General features: G+C 35.1%; 1 long non-coding RNA gene across 2 annotated transcripts in view; it reads right to left on the bottom strand.

The window, feature by feature from the left end:
• Nucleotides 1–3,707: 3,707 nt before the first annotated feature.
• Nucleotides 3,708–23,127, bottom strand: part of LINC02445 (long intergenic non-protein coding RNA 2445) — an 87,521-nt gene continuing 68,101 nt past the window's right edge. For both annotated transcript variants that reach the window (XR_007063369.1, XR_945092.2), the window contains one exon: nt 3,708–3,854. This is a non-coding gene — a long non-coding RNA (long intergenic non-protein coding RNA 2445). The remainder of the gene's footprint in view (nt 3,855–23,127) is intronic.

The raw sequence follows: 23,127 nt of genomic DNA, 5'->3' as shown, positions 1-23,127 counted from the left end.
GCTCACAATAGTTATCTAACTCACCATTGTTTCATTTAATATTCTTTGCTTCTGGGTGTTTTTTTGTCTCAAGACAGCTAATATATCTATGTTCATATTGCCAAGTAGAAGAATCATTGTGCATTCAATTTCTTTTTTCAGATGCTATTAATTCCAGACACAGATGGAAAACTTCCTTCCATTGCAACCACATAAGAGACCATTTTACTCAATAACAGCCTTTCTTTTTAAGGCTGAAATTCTTTTATATATTTGGCAATGCAAATTCTGTTCTCAAAAGTATTTAGCTTATATTCTTTCATTGTATTGACTTTATTCACTTTGATCTACATTTAAAAGTGTGTACTTTTTTTCCAAAGTGAAATAGAATTTCAACTCTATTTAAATGATTATATTTTGATCTTTGTTTCATAATGAAAAATGAGAAATGAGGCATGGAAGTATCTGGGTAATAAACTGAATATTAGTTTAGTCCTTCAATAGGTAGTGAAATAATAATACATTTCCTATGTATTATTGTACTATCACAGTTTATTAAATTTTATGTCTTGTCACAATTTTTATTTCAGCCCACATTAAGCAAACTATGTGTTTTAAAAGAAATTATGGCTAATTTTAGCTGTAGTAGCTTAGCAAAGAGAGGGGAGGAAACAAGAGTTGAATAGGATAGTTTTTGGTGGAGGAGACAAATTGGCAGCAGGTGTAGTCAGGGCATCAAACATATTTTAGACAGCAAAGTTAGTCACAAGAGTAAAATATCTGAGACAATGGAATAAACCAACAGGATTCTCAAAACTCAATCACAGGGGCTATCGCTATAAACAGTCCTAAGAAAATACCAGGTCCAAGTCAGTAAGTGATAGTGAAGTCAGGCAGCCAGTCTAGGATGGGTATGATGAAGGCAAAAAGAATTATCTGTAACTGCTCCTATACTTCTCTACTCTAGGCTTTGGCTTTAGAGAGTGCTACATCTCAAAAGCAGGTTAAAAAATAAATAAACATATGAGAGAACATATGGATGCCTATATTACTCAGGATCTAATGGTCAAAACTGGCATGAAATCATACATAATCAAAACATCAAGTCTCCTAACACTGTTTTGGCCCCCGAGAAATCTTCTTTCTTGTCTGTTGCAATCATGTCCAAATTAAAGATTCCTGAGTTGTTTCATTGCTCTCATAGGAAACAGACACGGTTTAATAAAGAGGAAAGACAATAAAATCAATAAATTTTTCAGATAGCATAAATACAATAAATTCTTGCAAAATAAATTGTTATAAAAAGTTTTAAAAACCTAAAAATGTAACTTTTGGCTATTTAATTTTAAGAAAGAAATTAAAGAAAAAAGGTAATCAAAGGTAGTACATGTGAAATATTCAACTAAAGTAACATTTCAATATTCCAAGAAAATTAGAACAGAAAAACAAAAATTACTTGCATGACTGAAAAAGAATTATATACAAAAAATCCAAATGAATAACCCAATCATTATTTTCAGATTCTTTCCTGGCTACTATCAATCAAGGTAAATTTTCCTTGAAAAAATATAAATAGTAAATTGAGCTATTTTCTGATTTCTTTATAATACTATACCTTAAAAACAATTAAAAATATTTAAGAAGTACTGAATGGATTTATATATTGCTAATAGATAGTAAAAATTGGAATATAAGTAATAAAGTTGCATATAATAAAAAATTTCAATAGCTTCTATCCATCAGTATATATGATTTTTTACAGACTTTAAGTATGATATCAATGGTTAATATCTGAATTCATATAAGGTCTGAAAAATTATATTGATAATTACAGTTATTCCTGTTTCAATAGAGCAAAATATATCTAAATTGAAATTACTTAATGACTATCTTAGAATTATAATGACTCAAATATATAATTGGGCATTATTGTCAACAGAACACAAATGATCACAAATTAGCAATTACAATATTATTATTTTGTGATTTATCTGAAATACAAATGTATATTATATATAATAATTTGCAATTTATGTTTATTTCTTTTTTATATGTATACTTTAAGTTCTGGGATACATGTGCAGAATGTGCAGGTTTGTTACATAGGTATACACGTGCCATGGTGGTTTGCTGCCCCCATCAACCCATCATCTATATTAGGTATTTATCCTAATGCTATCCCTCCCCAAGCCCTCCATCCCCCAACAGGCCCTGGTGTGTGATGTTCCCCTCCATGTGTCCATGTGTTCTCATTGTTCAACTCCCACTTATGAGTAAGAACATGCAGTGTTTGGTTTTCTGTTTCTGTATCAGTTTGCTGAGAGTGATGGTTTCCAGCTTCATCAATGTCCCTGCAAAGGACATGAACTCACCCTTTTTATGGTTGCATAGTATTCCATGGTGGATATGTGCCACATTTTCTTTATCCAGTCTATTATTGATGGGCATTTGGGTTGGTTCCAAGTCTTTGCTATTGTAAACAGTACTGCAATAAACATATGTGTGCATGTGTCTTTATAGTAGAATGATTTATAATATTTCGGGTATATATCCAGTAATGAGATTGCTGGGTCAAATGGTATTTCTGGTTCTAGATCCTTGAGGAATCGCCACACTGTCTTCCACAAGGAGCACATGCTTCTGAAATTACACTCCCACCAACAGTGTAAAAGTGTTTCTATTTCTCCATATCCTCTCTAGCATCTGTTATTTCTTGACTATTTAATGATTGCCATTCTAACTGGCATGAGATAGTATCTCATTGTGGTTTTGATATGCATTTCTCTGATGACCAGTGATGATGAGCTTTTTTACATATGTTTGTTGGCTGCATAAATGTCTTCTTTTGAGAAGTGTCTGCTTACATCCTTTGCCCACTTTTTGATGGAGTTTTTTGTTTTTCTCTTATAAATTTGTTTGAGTTCTCTGTAGATTCTGGATATTAGCCCTTTGTCAGATGAGTAGATTGCAAAAATTTTCTCCCATTCTGTAGGTTGCCTGTTCACTCTGATGCTAGTTTCTTTTGCTGTGCAGAAGCTCTTTAGCTTAATTAGATCCAATTCAATTTTGACTTTTGTTGCCATTGCTTTTGGTGTTTTACTCATGAAGTCTTTGCCCATGCCTATGTCCTGAATGGTATCCCCATAAAGCTACCATTGACTTTCTTCACAGAATTAGAAAAAACTACTTTACATTTCATATAGAACCAAAAAAGAGCCCACATAGCTGAGACAATCCTAAGTAGAAAGAGGCATCATGCTACCTGACTTCAAATTATACTAAAAGGCACAGTAATCAAAACAGCATGGTACTGGTACCAAAACAGATATATAGACCAATGGAACAGAACAGAGGCCTCAGAAATAATGCCACACATCTACATCCATCTGATCTTTGACAAACCTGACAAAAACAAGCAATGGGGAAAGGATTCCCTATTTAATAAATGGTGTTGGGAAAACTGACTAGCCATATGCAGAAAACTGAAACCGGACCCCTTCCTTACATCTTCTACAAAAATTAACTCAAGATGGAATAAAGACTTAAATGTTAAGACCTAAAACCATAAAAACCATAGAAGTAATTTATATTTATCTCTAATAATACAGATATCACTGTTCCAGCAAGGAACACCAAGACATGTACAATATCATTGAAATACAGCTGTATTTGATATTTTGTGGACTTTCAGTGACATAAAAAACATATCATTCCACATGTGCTTCAATTCTGTTTTTATAGAGTTATATTTTACATGGTAGAAAATTATATTACGTATTATGTAACAATTTCTTAGCCTCCTTCATAACTTTCAGGTGAACCTTCATTTGTATTCTTGCCCAAATGTAGATAGACATCACGGCAGACTTGATAATCTGAAAAAGTAACATTTTGGTTAGAATTTCTTTTAATAGATTTTTTTCTCCTTGATCACTCTTTTTACATCAACTAATTATGAAAATAAAACCAAAACCAAAGATATTTAGAGATTTAGCCATGATTCATGTTTTGGGGATTATATTCATATATATATTTATTTATTTGAGACTGAGTCTCACTCTGTTGCCCAGGCTGGAGTGCAGTGCTGCGATCTCGGCTCACTGCAATCTCTGCCTCCCAGGCTCAAGCGACTCTCCTAACTCAGCCTCTTGAGTAGCTGGAAGTACAGGGACATGCCAGCATGCCCAGCTGATTTTTATATTTTTAGTAGAGACGGGGTTTCACCTTGTTGGCCAGGCTGGTCTTGAACTCCTCACCTCAAGTGATCCACCCACCCCAGCCTCCCAAAGTGCTGAGATTACAGGCACAAGCCACCGCACCTGGCCTATGGTTCATATTTTAATGTTTCTCTCTTATTCACTTTATCAACCCTGGTTTGTGTATTAAACTAAGATTCTACAGTGTTAGAACTTGTTCCAGTTTTTTCCCATGTGTCTACTCACTTCATCAGTAAACTAGCCCTATTTTTCCAACCAAATACACATGAATTACAAAGGAAATGCTGTATCTTATATAAATTAGCTGATGTAAAACTTATATAAATAATAAAAATGTTCTATCATTATATTCCCTCACTAAATATACTTTTCTAAAAATAATAAAATTCTGTGAAATAATTAATGGTCTTTGAAAATTTGAAGAAATTTCACTTTTAAATTAAGACTTTTTCCCAAGTCAAACCAATTATTTAGAGAGTATAGACAGACAAAAGGTTTGAAGAAAAATTTTTATATATTTACAGTAAGCATATCTTTATACATCAACACACATAGACTCTCATGGAGTAAAATATGATACCACAGGGGATATCTATGATAACTTGAACTGTGGCAGTTATATTCTTCTGGTGAGACAAAATAATACTTTCAATAATTGAAAGTAAGAACTAAAATTTTCAAAGCATGGTGCTAATATCCATCTCTGTCCCCAAATGCAAATTTAAGATATGCCAGTTTAAACTGGAAATATACTTTTTTACAACATTTTAAGAGAACACAGTTAAAATAAAACACATACACAATATTTCTAAAGTTTTCAGTTCACTGTTACTCAAAACCTAAAATTTTGTTATTGCATCCAGAAATAAATTTTTTAATTCATATTTCATGTTTCAGTCAATGAAACAACCACTAATCCTTTAAAAACTAAAACAAGAACATTTTTTCTCATTCAGGCACTTAATTAGAACTTCAAAAATAGATTAGTTGTAATTGAAAAAGTAATAAAATATAGTTTGGCATTTTTAAGAGGAATCTAAATTAGCATGTTTAATGAAGTTACATTATTTTTTGCTTTGTCAGTATACTTAGTCCCTTTCCAAGTCACAGAGTTGAAAAACAAATAATCTGTAAAAGCAGATAATTTTCTTTCTTGTAACCATTTGAAATGGTAAGGTCTATTAAAGCAGTTTTCATTTATTTATAGTAACTATATTTTAAAATAATCATTTGAGAGAACTCTTAAAACATATACTGTTGGTGGGAATGTAAACTAATGCATATATGATGGAAAACTGTATGTAGGTTTCCCTAAAAATGAAAACTATAATTGCCATATGATCCAGCAATCCAATTACTGAGTATTATATCCAAAGGAAAGGAAATCAGTGTATCAAAGAGATATTTGAACTCCATGCTTTCTGCATCTTTATTCACAATAGCAAAAATATGGCATCAACATCAAAAGATGTATGGACAAAGAAAATGTGGTATGTAGTCACAATGGGATACTGTTCAGCCATAAAAAAAGAAGAAAATCCTTTCATTTGTGGCAACATGCATGATACTGGAGGACATTAGGTTAAGTGAAATAAGTCAGGCACAGAAAGATAAATATCACATGTTCTCACTCATATGTGGGAGCTAAAGGAAAATTGAGCTTACAAAGGCAGAGAGTGGAGTTGTGGTTATTAGCATCTGGAGAAGTAGTGGGAATAGGGGGGACAAAGAGAGTTTGGTTAGTGGATATAAAGCTACACCTGGATGGGAGGAATACATTCTAATGTTCTGTAGCAGTTTAGGATGAATATGGTTAAAAATAATTTAGTGTATATTTACAAACGCTAGAAGAGAGGATTTTTAATGTTCACAACACAAATGATGAATGTTCAAGGTGATAGATATGTTAAATACCCTGATTTGATCATTGCACTTGTATACATGTTTCAAAATATTGCACTGTATCCCAAAAATATATATAATTGTGTGTGCCAACTAAAATAAAAGGAAAATAGAAAAGAAAAATAAAACCTTTGGTATCTTTTATATTTTTATTTATTTTCCTTTGCTCCTAGAGATATTTCATTTTATGTAACATCAGTTTTCCCACCATTTTCTTGTCTGGGTAAAACCACTAGAGAAAAATTTAAATTAGCATAACTGTTTGAATCTCTAGATAAATACTAAAATTAACTTGAATGATCAAATATACATATAAAACATGACCTAAATAACTTCTTGTTTAAAATAACCTCTGGCCAGTAGCTGTTAATTCAGCTGCTTCTAAATCTCATTCATTTAAAAAATATTTCAGACTTCCAGTAAGCCTTCTTCTAAGTATAGCACATATCAAGACAAACTTTATTAATAAATTCAGGGACATACATTTAATTTAGAAGAAGGTGGGAAGACTATAAACAAGAAAAACAAAATCACACACAAACAAGATAGTATCAGTTAGTGATATACACTTTGATAAAAATAGAAGGGAGTATTGTGATACTGAACAATGGAGAATACCTTTAAATTGATTGGCTGAGAAGGATCTGTCAAGGGCCATGGTTTCAGACAAGACATGCATATAAATATTGAGAAGCCAAGGAAGAATATTATAGGCAAAAGGAACAGCAAACACAAATGCTGTGAGCTCTCTGAAAGCCAATGTGACTAGATTGATAACAAGTGTAGAAATATTTCGGGGATTTCTGAGAGAGGAGCAGAAAGCAAATACTTTTACATTACTACAATAATTTTCGATATTATTATAATTGTACAAAGAGTTACTAAAAAGTTTTAAATGCTTGCATGATGAGTGATTCAACTATTTAGTGTGACTGATGCTTGGAGAATAGCATAAGAAGGAAGCTTACACAAAGACCAGTGAAGGCTATTAATATAGTCTCATCTAGTTATAAACATGATCCAGCCAAGTATGTTAATGAAGCAGTGGAGGACAAGTGAAAGAATCTGCGATATATTTTGGAAGTAGAGATGAAAATATTTTCTAAAGGAAAGGTTAAAATGTATGAAAATCAACAAAGATAATCAATTTTTTGGTTTAAGTACTAAGTTAGTACTGGTGTCATTTACTAAGAAAGGGAAGCATAGGGAAAAGACACATGTAGAAGAGAAAATTATGAGTTCCTTCAGGATGTCTTGAATTGGACAGACCTAATAGTTGTCTAAATGGAGATGTCAAGTAAGCTGTTGCAGAAATGAGGCTACATTTTGGATGAAAAGTTAAGGCTGGAGATAGACATTTGAGAGTCTCAGCATATGGGTGTTTTTTATAGTCATGGAACTGCATGAGATTGCCTGAGAAAGATGATATATTCAGAAAAGAAAAGTAGGCTTGATGATCGAGTCCTGATCTAAGCTCAAATGACGTAAAAGGAGCATCAGGCACCAGAAACTGAGATGGAGTGAGCAATAAGCTAGAAGAAAATAGAGGGTGACAAGAAAACAGAACATGAAGAAATAAACTGATGTAAGAATACAAAGTAGTATTTTTCATTAAATATTGCTGATACATCAATTAAGCAGTTTATTGCAGTAGCAGGGATGCAGTGAGGAGGGAAGGGTAAATGAGAAAGTACAGGCAGTAAGGATAGACCCTTCTTTCAAAATTTATTCATTCACTTATGTTTATGAAGAGGAATTGTGGAATGAGACAGTATTTGGAAAAGAATGTTATGTTGTAATAGCTAGATAGATAATAGATAAATTATAAAGAATAGATGACTGATAATAAATGATAGATTAGACAGATATTTTAGACAGGTGAAACTAGAACAAGTTTGTTGATTGAAAAAAATAGAGACTATTCATGAAGGTGAAAGAAAAAAAGCAGGAACAAAATAGTTTAGAAAATGATGAAGCAGAGGTGTATGCATATGCATGTGGTTGTTGAAAACACTTAGAAGTGAGACTGAGAATTTAGGACAGTCTTGATGATACAATGTTATTTTCTTAAATCTCAGTGAAAGACTTTGGGATGCTGGAGAAGGGTGCAAAAAAGGGATAGATTACTCAATGTACAGATTAGGTTTTTTTTTTTTGAGATGGAGTCTCGCTCTGTCACGCAGGCTGGAGTGCAGTGGCAGTATCTCAGCTCACTGCAACCTCCACCTCCTGAGTTCAAGAGATTCTCCTGTCTCAGCCTCCCAAGTAGCTGGGACTACAGGCATGAGCCACCACACCCAGCTAATTTTTGTGTTTTTAGGACAAGGTTTCATCATGTTGGCCAGGCTGGTCTTAAACTCCTGACCTTAGGTGATCCACTCGCCTCAGCCTCCCAAAGTTCTGGGATTACAGGTGTGAGCCACCACCCGGCTGTACAGACCAGTTCTGACAGAAAAAGCTGGATGATGGAATAAATGATAGATGACCTGGGAAGACAGGACATAGGCAGCGACTCAGGAAAACAAAGCATAATGGAAGTAGTACTGAATATTTCTTGGACACGACTTCTCAAACTATCTGTGGTGAAAGATTATTTTGCCTGTCTGCATCATAGAAGGATAATTGTGAAAAAAATGGATTTCTAAAAAATTATCACATACTTGTATGTTACAGCAATGGCATTTTCTAGAAATGTTTGTAAATACTCCAATTTCTGTAGTAATTCTTTGTGGGTCAGTAACAAAAGTTCTCCAATGGGTATCAGTTTGAGAAACGCCTTCTGTAAGATAGTCTTAAACAAGTGTAATTAAGAAAAGTGTTCTATTTTTTTAGTGTGAATCCCATAATAGTAAAATTTAGACAAACTACAGCACAGTTATTCAGTTAGAAATTTTATATATTTTTTGTAAATAATATACAAATACTCAGGGCTAGTATGTTACATAATAATAACATTTAAACAGAAAAGGACAAGGCACTCACTTTAAATACACCTGTGGCATCACTGAAGAAAAAATGAAAACTCTTAATGAAAGCTAAGGCTGTCAGAAAATGTAAAGCAAAAAGTAATTTGCACTAATGATAAGGCAGATAAATTTGGATTTTAAAAAATTACTTAGGCTTTATGTCATTCTGATTATGTTAATGTTATCTTTCATAATACTTGTAAGATCTAACACCTGTCTCAGTACATGTGGAGTCCAAAAACTGAATGATACTCCTCAGTCATGAATACTATTATACTTACCATAGCTCTACATTTAGACAAATGTTTCATATTGTGGAGAATAACTGGTAATGGAATGGTAGGGTTCTAAAGAGAAGCCAGTAGTATTTAGGAGGATTTGTAGGGTGCTGATGAGAATTTATGCTTCATAGAAGTTGTACCTTGACTAAAACTAGTAGGCTATGAAACATTAAGAAACCTAATAGGAACAAAGCCGACTGAGCATTTAATGCATTTTCCTCCATGGACTTTTCTGTATTTATTCAGAATTACATACAGCAAATCAACTGAGAAAAAAAAAAGAAGATTTTATTTCAGTAGGGAAAACACTCAAAACCCTAAATAAAATCTATTAAAGATTAGAAATTGGCTTGGAGCTTTGCATGTTACCATGTCAACTAGGAATGTGACTTCCCATTTCTTTGAAAGTAACAGCCGTTAATGTTTCCTACTGTGTGCCCATAAAATACCAAAAAAAGACAAACTCTCTCTCCTTGCACTGTATATTTTCAAGTCTAAGTCATGCTGAAGTTGAATAAGAAAAAAATTCTAAATTGGGTGAGTTTATCTTTTGATACTAGCTTAGGCAAGACTTTATTGATTTATTATTTAATACTTAAGGACTGAAATATTTGCTAAGATATGCAAATGTGTAGAAAAACTATGGGCTAGATTTGAGATTTTATGCTTGTTTGAGAAAGGGTGACGTTACCAAGCAGGTTTAAAGGCCAGTGTTGCTAATTAATATTTATTTCTAAAGACACCCTACTCAGTCTACTTCATTCTGGCTTGTATATTGACAGACCATATATTGCCTTGTTTGAAAATTTCTGAGACTGCTAGCTATTAACCAAATCCATTTTCTTCTTCTCTGGCACACAAATGGCCTCATTTCTCAGGCTTACTCAGAGTTAGACATAGCTATAGAACTGAGTTCCCACCAACAGCACATGAGCCATAATGACGTGAGCCATTATGGTCCAGTTCTGGTCCATTAAAACCACTTATGCAGTCTATTTTTTGTTCTTTCTTCTTATGACGGGTGCATACAGAGAATAAGAAATATCTGTGCATTGGTAGAGATATAATAAATCGGAGCCTGGGTCATTGAATGAATTCATGGATAAAAGATCATCTGCCTCCTGTACATTTAACAATTATTGTTTTGGGAGCAAAAAATATATATAAGCGTCTATTGTGTTAAGCCATTTGTTTGGTCCTATTTCTATTGCATTTAGGCTATACTAAGCAATACGTATTTACAGTAATAGACATAATATAAGAACAAAATGATAACATGGAACAATTTTTCTACATTACACATTATAAGTAAATGTATTAGTACCTGGAAGACACACAAAAAGCACATACTTCTGAAATTATATAATGCAAGAACCAAAATAACAAATTTAGAATGTTGTTCACATTCTTAATGAATTTCAAGGCATTTGTTCTTATAAATGAGAAAACCAAAACATAAGGAATAAATCAGAAGAGATTAAAAGGTAATAACATAAGTCCAAAATGAAAAATTATTTTTTAAAAAAGACTGCATTTCAGGGAAAGAAAATAAAATTTGGTGCTACAGAAAATTGAATCATTAACCTCAAAAACAAATGTGAGAATCTCTCCCAGAATGTGGAGAATAAAGGGTAATGAATTTCAAATGTTGAAAAAAGAAGAGTGACAAATGTCAAGGTTAGATAATGTAGTGAAAGGTACCAATAATTTCTGTATCAGAAGCAAATGACTAAATAGCTAAAGATTTCAAGTGACAGAAAGCTGATAATGATTTCATAGTTTGCTCAGGAATATCAACAAAAATGATTTATTATGAAAAAATTTTGAACTAAAAAGATAAGAAAAACATTATTTAAGCCATCACAAATGGAAAATAAGAAAGACAAATAAACAAAGTAATGGATACTACTGAAGAAAGGTCAGTGGTTGTTGTGATATTGCTGCACAAACAAAATGCCAGAATTCACAATGCACAGTTTTCAGAATATTGACTGAAAAAAAAATTGTGACCACCAAATGTCAAGCCTTGCTAAGTAGTCACTTGTTTGAACTCAATAAAAAATAAAAATCTTCTCATGTCCATAGTGTTAAAAAGTCTTTCTCATTCCTTTCTTTCCAAAATTTAAGATATGTATATAATGAAAGGAGATTAAAGATAGAGAAAAAATGTAAAGAACAATTACAGTGTAAGTGAATAAAGTTAAGTACTAAAATAAAAGATAAATGGCAAAAAATATAGTCATTTTTGTTAATCTGTCAGAAAAAGATGGCAGATGGTAAAAATATCAAATACTGAAAAATTTTATGTATGTAAAATGACAGAGTATTGAGAAAAATCTTTAACTGGTTTGAATAGAGCAAAACAAAAGTGGGCTAAATTTTTTTTGTTGTTATAGGTTTAATGCGCGTCCGTGTGAAGAGACCTGTCAATAGGTAAGCCAAAATTAGTATTTTTCTTAATTTTATCAACTAGAAAAATACAGATTAAAAACAACTTTAAAAAAACTATTAAAAATCACTTTGGAAAAAATTCAAGCAAGTAAGAACACAACCAAGAAAATTTAAAAATTGAGGCATATAGCAAGCTTGCAAATAAATGCAACACAACTTGTATCAATTAAAACATTAAATTTTAAGGAGTTGTACTTATTAAAATAAAACAAAGTGACAAAAGGTAGAATATAACTACATGAAATAGTCATACCTGAAATTAAGTGACATTAAAAAGTTAAAAATAGGTACATATATGGTAAACAAAGCAAATGGGTGACATTTCATAGTATAACATATATTTTTCCTTGAAGGGCTTAATATATGATATTAGTAATAGCTGCATTTAGTGAGTTTTTATACTGTACCAGTGACTGTTCTATAACTTTATGTTTATTAACTCATATATAGTTCTAAATTATACTTGGTATAATTTTTGTTTCCAAGATAAATAAATAAATAAAGCGAGTTAATTTTTTCAAAGACCATGTAATTGGAAAACAATGGAGTTCAGACTGATATCCAGGCCAGATAAATTCAGAGCACAAGATTTTTAGTTTTATATTTCTCTAAGAAGATAAAATTGCCATAAAACTCCTGTGCCTTAATCATACTGCATTGGCTGTAAATATGCAAGTAAGTTACAAAAGCAGTTGGAAAAAATAATCATACCTCTTTTAGACTTTGATATGTGTGTTTGTAAGATGTACATAATCATAAATAGTAATAATTAAACCAATAATATCAATAGCAATTACAATTTAATAATTTAATAAAAATTATTTTCTTCTATGCAATATATTAAGTACTTTACAAATTTCATTTAGCCATCATAGTAATTTTTGATACAGAAAAATAAAGCTAAAATAATTTAAATAGGATTTATCCTGAGACAGAAAGTGAGTGATTCAAGGTCACATAGCTGTTAAATGAGGCCAGCATTTTACCCAGAACTATTCTATGCCAGACCTGTACTTAACATTGTATTATGTTCTAATAAAATAATAAGGTGAAGGAGTGTATTAAACTTTATACCATAAAACAGATCCTTTTGTCTAGTAACCATTAATGTTTCAAAAGCCAGCAATTGCTTATTAGAGTTCAACATGCTTTAAAACACTGAAGCTGTTTAAGTCCTAGTCTTCAACCTCAATGCAAACATCTTGAAGTCACCAAAAATATTTTTAATCTACCCTCTTGTACAAAAGTAAATGTCTTCTTAGTTAGAGAAAAGAGATAATTAAACAGTAGTTTTAGACTATTTAAACATTAACAACTACATCCTAAATGTCAAAACTAATGCATCAAATATTTTCAAAAGAAAAATCAGTAAAATGTTAGTTAATTATGAATGAAGAGAAAATTAAAATAAATATAATGAGAATTCGATTTAAGAAACTGGAAGAGGAATAACAAAACTATGTGTCTGAAATTGCATTAAAGCAAAAAATTAAATAAATTGAAGGTAAAATATATAATTGATAAATACATTCAGGAATTTTTTATCTGACTAATCAATGAAATGAAGAAACCTGTGGTAAAATAAGCAAGGAAATAAAAAGACATAAAAAAGAGAATTAAAATAGGCATTTAATCTCAGAATAATGAATAAATAAGAAAATAATTTTAAAAAATTAAAAAAACAGTAGAAGATAATATTACAGATAATTCTAGCTACAAAAATAAAAATCTTAATGCAGTGGTCTTTTTTTTTAGAAAAACAATATGTTCTCAATTTTATTTAAAAATAAGGTAGATGGGAATGAAAATAGAGAATATATATATATATATATATATATATATATATATGTATAAGCAAAAATAGTCAGCAAAATGCTGTTAGTTTGTAGTAGAACCAGAGCCTATCACAGAGCATAAAATTTCTTTGTCTCTGGAAGAGGAGAAGAAAACATGGGAAGCTTTTTGATTCATTTCATGAAGAGGTAACAACCTGACACTGAATTCTGATAAAGACATCACTAGCATTCTGTGAAACATAACCCCACCACCACCATTAAGTTTGCATATTTAATAGGATTGAGTTATTACTTTTATTTTGCAATCAGAAGGATAAAGAATTATTGGCATAAATCCTAAAATTAAATAATGGTTCTTATTGGTATATGATAAATGTTGTAACTGGTTCACTGACACACTCCAAATAGAGGCCTCTGATGGTTGTTTCAGCTTTATTGAAATATTTTATTTTTCTGGTGAAGGTTAGAAAAACAGAACAATAAAACATCCGCTTATTTAGCATTGACTGTGAAATATGGGATGATCTGCAAGTTAGGTTCTCAAAATAATAGATTTAAATATTAGATCTAAAATTCAGTATCTACAGTTATAAACAAATTCTTGATTTTCCCCTTTATGATGCACAAAGACCAAATCACAATCATCTTTAAAGGTCTTCATAAATGATTACTAGCACACAGGGACAAGATATAGTTTACAAATAGAAGAAAGATTTGACCATACTTTAGAAGACTATTCAATGAAAACAGTAGACAACACTTACTTAATAATAATAGTATCAAAAGCTCTGTGCTAGGTATTTTTCTTGGTGCTTTGAACATATTACTTTGTCTAATTCTGATAACAACTGAATTGGTAGTGTTTCTCAGATAGGAAACTGAAGCCCAAAGAAGTTTAGTTACTTGTTTGAGAACATATCTAATAAGTGCCTGGGCACACACACATGCAGTCTTGCTTTGTTTGGGTTTGTGCTTGTGAGCATACACCATAAAATATTAATATCAACAGTAGAAAGTTAAAGCAGAAATTATCATTATTAGTGGGATTTCAACGTGGAAAACCATTCAAAGGTGCAAATGCTCTATGTACTACTGCTTCTTTTCTGGCCCTAATTCATCCTATTATAATACTTAAGAGATACACAAAGCTCTGTTTTTCCCATTACTATTTCCCTTAGTGGGGCCACTGCCAAACAAGATTTACAGAGATCCGTAGAGCAACTGATGTTCTTGGTAAGACTGCCCCTCCCTTGGCCTATATGCTGCCTGCTTACAAACTGTTAAACAGATTAATCCTAAAAAGGAAGCTATAATTAGAACTGATTACCCAATTTTCCCTAAGAAACCATCAGTACTAATGTAATCATTTTATAGTCCTGTTTATTTTGGAAACAACTAAAATCCCCAAACTTCCACAATCACCCATATGTCTCTATAGATCCCCTAATTGGACCCAATGTCCTAACATTCCCTAACTCCCAAACACAGTCACTGTAACTACCCTCTGTTAACAGCAAATCTCTATATCTTTACTAAGTCTTCTCTCAGTGTCTGAATCTGACTGTTACTCAAGGAGTCTACATCTCCTTAGTGTTCACCAAGATCATTACTCCTATCTTAAAACCTCAATTCTTTCTGCTTGGTTTATACTTTCCACCACCTGTCTTTCAATGCAAAGTCTATGCACATTGCTACTTCACTTCCCTGTCTTTTACACCGGAAACTGCAATATCTATATATGTAAACTTTCAAATGCCATGGCTTGTCACTCCAATGACTGGCATTTCCAATGACTTTTCTTCTAAACTATTTTAGTTTCCCATTCTTACTGGCAATTAGTGCCATTGAAAATTACTGCCATTTAAAACAAACATAAAAAATGTCTTTATCAATGCTCATTCTTTGCCATCTACTTCAACTTTTCCATCTGAGTCTACTATCCCTTTGTCAACTAAGCTTTGGACAGTCTAGGACCTCATTACATTGGAACCTTTTGGTATTCATGACCCAATACCTTGCTTTCCCTTATTTAACTTGTTTTATAACTTAGATTCCATGAAACATTATTAGAATAACTCTTTTAAATATACCATCCATTGAACTGATTTAATTTTCCTCTATCATGCTCATCTGATATACAAGATACTAGTGACCCTCACCAATATTTCTGGCCTTCTTGCATCCTGCATCTAAGAGAATACTCCACTGCTTTGTACTGACCAGCTTTGACCAATAGGACATAAATGTGTCATATGCCACATTTTAGTACAAATATTATAGAACCAGTGTGTGATTCCCTGTCTTTCCTCCTTTTTGCTGAGCAATCACTAAAACATGTGTTGGTTGAAGGTGCCAAAATATCAAAGCAATTCCAAATACTGAGCTCACACAGGGAGGAATGATTCCCTGGAGAGGATCTGGATTCACATCAGACTTTATGCAAATTACATATTTTTTATAGTAAATCGGTGTATAAGCGACTCACACTGCTATAAAGATACTACCCGACACTGGGTAGTTTATAAACAAAGGAGGTTTAATTGACTCACAGTTCTACACCTCTGGGGAGGCCTCAGGCAACGTACAATCATGATAGAAGGGGAAGAAGGCAACTTCTTCACAAGGAGGCAGGAGAGAGAAGTGTGTGGAGCAAAGGGAGAAGAACCCCTTATTAAACCAACATATCTCATGAGAACTCACTCACTACCATGAGAACAGCATGGGGGAACCACCCCCATGATCCACACACCTTTCACCAGGTCTCTCCCTAGACATATGGGGATTACAGGGATTACAATTCAAGATGAGATTTGAGTGAGTACAGAGCCAAACCATATCATTATGCCCCTGGCCCCTCCCAAATCTCATGTCCTCATATATCAAAACACAATCATGCCTTTCCAACAGTTTCCCAAATTCTTAACTCATTCTAGCATTAACCCAAAAGTCCAAGTCCAAACCATCTTTGTGAATGCATATAACTTAGTGCTTTTAAGAGCACTGTATTAGCCAGGGTTCTCTAGAGAGACAGAACTAGTAGGATATATATATAATAGGATATATATATAAAATAGGATATACATAGGATATCAAGTTGACATTAGGTGGACTTTTGATGGTTAATACTGATTGTCAACTTGATTGCATTGAAGCATTGATCCTGGGTGTGTCTGTGGAGGGTGTTGTCAAAGGAGACTAACATTTGAGTCAGTGGACTGATATATATATATATAAATGACATATATGTATATAATATATATACATATATATCATATATATACTGATATATATACATATATATATGTATATATATATATCAGTCCTAGTGATCCACTAGCAAAATTTTTGCTTCCTGTTTCCATGACATAACATTCTTCTGGCCTAGAGATCCATCACTCCTAGTGACCCACTAGCAAAATTTTGCTTCCTGTAGAAGATATACATATATCTCCCTAAGAATATATATATGTATATCTCCATAGGAGAATATATATATAAATGTATCCTCCACAGGAGAATATATATATATATAAATATATCCTCCACAGGAGAATATATATATAAAAATGTATCCTCCACAGGAGAATATATATATATATATATAAATATATATCCTCCACAGGAGAATATATATATATATAAAAATATATCCTCCACAGGAGAATATATATATATATATAAAAATATATCCTCCACAGGAGAATATATATATATATAAAAATATATCCTCCACAGGAGAATATATATATATAAAAATATATCCTCCACAGTAGAATATATATATATAAATCTATCCTCCACAGGAGAACATATATATATAAATATGTCCTCCACAGGAGAACATATATATATATAAATATATCCTCCACAGGAGAATATATATATATATAAATATATCCTCCACAGGAGAATACATATATATATATAAATATATCCTCCACATGAGAATATATATAAAAATATATCCTCCATAGGAGATATATATATATGCATATATATATATTATATATATATATATATTTATCATTCCACTGAGTTAAATGTTAGTCTCCTTTGACAACACCCTCACAGACACACCCAGGATCAATGCTTTGTAGCCTTCAATTCAATCAAGGTGACAATCAGTATTAACCATGAAAAGTCCATCCAGTGTCAGCTTGAACCCATAAACATCTCCTGAGATTATACATAATTTTCAAATAAAGACAATAATAAGGTCATAATTATGCCTAATACCACTATCCTTCGTACAACAGGAAATGCACCAATCCCCAACCCAAATACTATTACATAAAGTTAAAAATACTTAAATGCTGTGAAGTCAATAAATCTTATATGATAAAGGAAAAATAAATAAACTGAAGATATTTTCTTAGTACACGTGTATACATGCACAAACATATTTTTAACAAAGGAAGAAGGAAATACCATGACAATTACAGTCTCCATTTCTGCAGCTGGTCACGTAGTCATGGCTGGTATTTATAACTATCTTCTTCTACTATCCATTCTGTATTCCCTTTGCTTTTAGCAAGCACCTCAGCAGTTTGTGGTTTTTTTCCTGGTAGAGTGACCCAAACCTTCATTACTGAAGGGTCTGGGCCATTTGTAGTCCTGCCTGGTTTGGGCCGTTTTAGTTTCCCACTGACCTTAATCACAGGGCATGGTAATACTAAGAGACGCCCTAATGGATCTCCTGTATTCCATGCATACTCTTCCTTGCCTCTGTTGTGTAGTAGTAGACTGATTTCACCTTGATAGTCTGGTCAGTCACCATAGCCAACACTGTAACGCCCTTCTTAGCCTGTTGATTTAAAGGTAGGAGGACACCACAAAGTGTCCAGGTGGCAATCTTAACTTCCAGTTTAATGGAATCGTTGTTGTGTCTCCTAGTGTCAGCATTGCTCCTTCTGGAGCTAGGACCTCTATGCCAGCAGAACGTTATGTCATGGGAACAGGAAGCAAAAATTTTGTTAGTGGATCATTAGGAATGATGGTGGGTGGTGCCACTTCCACTTCCACCCCGTGATTCCTGGATCCATAAGTCCTGGCTATGGAAGAAACTACCATATATTGGATGCTGATTCAGAACATACAAGGACTTCTGGAAAACTTTGCCCCAGCCCTGCAAAGTATTCTCACCTAGTTTGTATTGTAATTGTGACTTCAAAAGGCCATTCCACTGTTTTATCAATCCAGCTGCTTCAGGATGATGGGGAACATGGTAAGACTAGTAAATTCCATGAGCATGAACCCACTGCCACACTTCTTTTGCTGTAAAGTAAGTGCCTTGTTCAGGGCCAATGCTGTATGGAATACCAGGTTGGTGGATAAGGCATTCCATTAGTCCACGGATGGTAGTCTTGGGATAAGCATTTTGTGTAGGATAGGCTAACCCATATCTGGAGTAAGTGTCTTTTCCAGCGAGGACAAACCTCTGCCCTTTCCATGATGGAAGAGGTCCAATATAATCAACTGCCACCAGGTAGCTGGCTGATCACCCTGAGGAATGGTGCCATATCGAGGGATCAGTGTTAGTCTCTGCTGCTGGCAAATTGGGCACTCAGCAGTGGCCATAGCCACATCAGCCTTGGTGAGTAGAAGTCCATATTGCTGAGTCCTTGTGTAGCCTCCATCCCTGCCACCGTGGCCACTTTGTTCATGGGCCCATTTTGCGATTACAAGGGTGGCTGGGGAAAGAGGCTAAGTGGTGTCCACAGAACAGGTCATCCTTTCCGCTTTATTAAAATCCTCTTCTGTTGAGGCCACTCATTGGGGAGCACTCACATGGGATACAAATATCTTCAGTTTTTGACCACTCAGAGAGGTCCAGCCACATACCTCTTCCCCAAATTCCTTTGTCACCAATTTTCCAATCATGCTACTTCCAAGTCCCTGACCATCCAACCAAACCATTGGCTACAGCCCAGGAATCAGTATATAATTGCACATCTGGCCATTTCTCCTTCCATGCAAAGAGCACAACCAGGTGCACCACTTGAAGTTCTGCCCACTGGGAAGTTTTCCCTTCACCACTGTCCTTCATGGATGTTGTAGAAAGGGGCTAGGGTGCTGCAGCTGTCCACTTTTGGGTGGTGCCTGCGCATTGTGCAGAACCATTTGTGAACCAGGCCCTAGTTTTCTCTTCCTCTGTCAACTGATCCTAGGGAACTCCCCGCGAGGCCATCAGTGCAGACTGAGGGAGAGAAGGGAGGGTGGCATGAGTGGAGAGCATGGGCATTTGAGCCACTTCCTCATGTAACTTGTGCCTTCAGGACCTGCTTGAGCCTGATCATATATATACCACTTCCATCTGATGACAAAATGCTGCTGTGCATGACCCACTTTATGGCTAGATGGGTCAGAAAGTATCCATGTCATGATAGGCAGTTCAGGCATGGTGACTTGATGACCCATAGTCAAATGTTCAGTTTCCACCAAAGCCCAGTAACGGGCCAAGAACTGTCTCTCAAAAGGAGAGTAGTTATCTGCAAAAGATGGCAAGGTCTCAGTCCAAAATCCTACAGGCTGCCGCTGTGATTCGCCTATGGGGGTCTGCCAAAGGCTCCAAACAGCATCCCTATCTGCTACTGACACCTCAAGCACTATTGGATCTGCTGGGTCATATGGCCCAAGTGGCAGAGCAGCTTGCACAGCAGCCTGGACCTGTTGCAGAGCCTTCTCCTTTTCTGGACCCCACTCAAAACTGGCAGACTTTTGAGTCACTCAATGAATGGATCAGAGTAACACACCCAAATGAGAAATGTGTTGCCTCCAAAATCCAAATAGGCCCATTAGGGGTTGTGCCTCTTTCTCTCTTTCTTGGTTGTACGAGGGACCAAATGCAGCAACTTATTATTCACCTTAGAAAGAATATCTCGGCAGACCCCCACCACTGGACCCTAGAAATTTTACTAAGGTAGAAGGTCTCTGAATTTTTGTAGGATTTATTTCCCACCTTCTGGCATGCAAATGTCTCACCAACAAGTCCAGTGTGTTTGCTACTTATTGCTCATTGGATCAATCAGAATAATGTCATGAATGTAATGTACCAGTGTAATATCTTATGGAAGCAAAAGGCGATCAAGGTCTCTCCAAATAAGATTATGACACAAAGCTGGAGAGTTGATATACCCCTGAGGTAGGACAGTAAAGGTATATTGCTGGCCTTGCCAGCTAAAGGTAAATTGCTTCTGGTGGGCCTTATGGACAGGAATGGAGAAAAAGGCATTTACCAAGTAAATGGCTGCATACCAGGTACCAGGAGTTGTGTTAATTTGCTCAATCAATGAAACCACATCTGGTACAGCAGCTGCAATTGGAGTCGCCACTTGGTTAAGCTTACAATAATCCACCGTCATTCTCCAAGATCCACCTGTCTTCTGCACCTGCCAAATGGCAGAGTTGAACAGGGATGTGGTGGGAATCACCACTCCTGCATCATTCAAGTCCTTGATGGTGGCACTAATCTCTACAATCCCTCCAGGGATGTAATTTTTTTTTATTTACTATTTTTCTGTGTAGAGGCAGCTCTAATGGCTTCCATTTAGCCTTTCCCACCATAGTAGCCCTCACCCTACTAGTCAGGGAGCCAATGTGGGGGTTCTGCCAGCTGCCAAGTATGTCTATGCCAATTATGCATTATGGCACTGGGGAAATGACCATAGGATGAATCCGTGAACCCACTAGACTCACTGTAAATCAGACCTGAGCTAAAACTTCATTAATTACATAACCTCCACAAACCCCTGTTTTAACTGGGGGACCATAATGACATTTTGGGTCTTCTGGAATCAATGTCTGCTCAGAGCCAGTGTCCAGTAGTCCCTGAAATGTCTAATCATTTCCCTTTGCCCAATGTACAGTTACCTTGGTAAAAGGCCAGAGGTATTCTTAAGGAAGGATAGGAAAATTGTCAGTAATGTAGTGGGGTCCTTCATCAAAGGGATCCAGCCTCCCCTTCATTCAGGGGGTTTGGGGTCTGTAAACTGGCTCAAGTCTGAAAATTGATTTAGGGGCCATGATTCTCTGTGTTTATAATTCAAATTAGTCCTTTCTCCATTCGACCTAGAAGCTTTCTGCTTGTATAAATTAAGTAGGAATGCAGTAAGCTTCCTATCAATTTCATTTCTCGGAACACTGTGATTGATTAGTCAATGTCAGCAGTCCACACGAGTTAAACTATTCTGATTGCTGCTTTGCCTCTGCTGTTCATTACGGTAGCTACGTCCACCTTGCCTTTGATCACTGAGTGTGACCAATTGGCCCCTGCCACCTTGGGATCCAGTTATTCCCATTGTATTTAAATTTTGTAGTCGAGTGACTGTGGTTCCCACTGTTAGATCTGTCATACAGAGAAAAGAGCAATTACAGGGCTCTTCAAAACTTCAGGTGCTGCCTTCACAAATCTATTTCACAAGGCATTGGTTAAAGATATATCTACAAGGCACTGGTCAAGAGTATATCTTCTGGACACTCCCAGCTGGGATGAGTAGGTCTAAAATGACTAATCCATTCCACCATCCCAATCTCCCTAAGCCTTTGCACCCCTTCCTGTACATTAAACCAAGAGATCAGGCATTTGCAGCTTGCTCATTTTGGGCCATCTTTTAATCCATATTTCAGCTAACCAAGCAAATAAACTATTAGAACATTTTTTTTTTTTAGGTGGAGTTTCGCTCTTGTTGCCCAAGCTAGAGTGCAATGGCATGATCTTGGCATGCCACAACCTCCACCTCCCAGGTTCAAGTGATTCTCCTGCCTCAGCCTCCCGAGTAGCTGGGATTACAGGCAAGCATGCACAACCATGCCTGGTTAATTTTGTTTTGTTTTGTTTTTTAGTAGAGACAGGGTTTCTCCATGTTGGTCAGGTTGGTCTTGAACTCCGACCTCAGGTTGGTCTTGAACTCCCGACCTCAGGTGATCCACCTGCCTCAGCCTCCCAAAGTGCTGTGATTATAGGTGTGAGTCACTGTGCCTGGCCTAGAACATTTTTTAACTCCCCTAGCTGCAACATTAAAAGCAGAGTCTCTACTTAGTAGGCCCAAATCAATAAATCCAGCCTGATCCAACTCTGTTCCTTCCACCATTACCCCATACCCTTAATATCCATTCCCATGCCTGTTCTCCAGATTTCTGTTCATATAAAGTAGAGAACTCAAATAGTTCTTTTTGAGTGTACCACACCTCCTCATGGGTCACACTCTCAACCTCACCTCAAGGATCCTACCAGGACGTTAGGCCTAGAAGTAAAGTTTAGATCTAGAAGCAAACAGGGGTGTTGGGGATGGCTCCTGAAGAGAATCAACATTATTTGGCCTGGCAACTGCCTCAGGGGAGGCCATCACTATTGTCTCAGGAAGCACAGGGCTTATCTCCTCAGAGAAATGTGGAAAGGCTGATGGCAGCATGGGTAGGGGAGGGAAAGTTGCCACTACTGGGGATGAGGTAGCTGTTCCTTTTGTCAAAAAAACGTTCATCAGAGTTTACAAGCTCAGTGTCTCCAACTTCATCAGGGTCCTCTCACACATCCCTA

This window comes from Homo sapiens, chromosome 12, assembly GCF_000001405.40.
Source record: "Homo sapiens chromosome 12, GRCh38.p14 Primary Assembly".
Taxonomy (NCBI): Eukaryota; Metazoa; Chordata; class Mammalia; order Primates; family Hominidae; genus Homo; species Homo sapiens.
The sequence above is the reverse complement of the archived record's forward strand: the minus strand, read 5'-3'. Positions and strand labels throughout refer to the sequence as shown.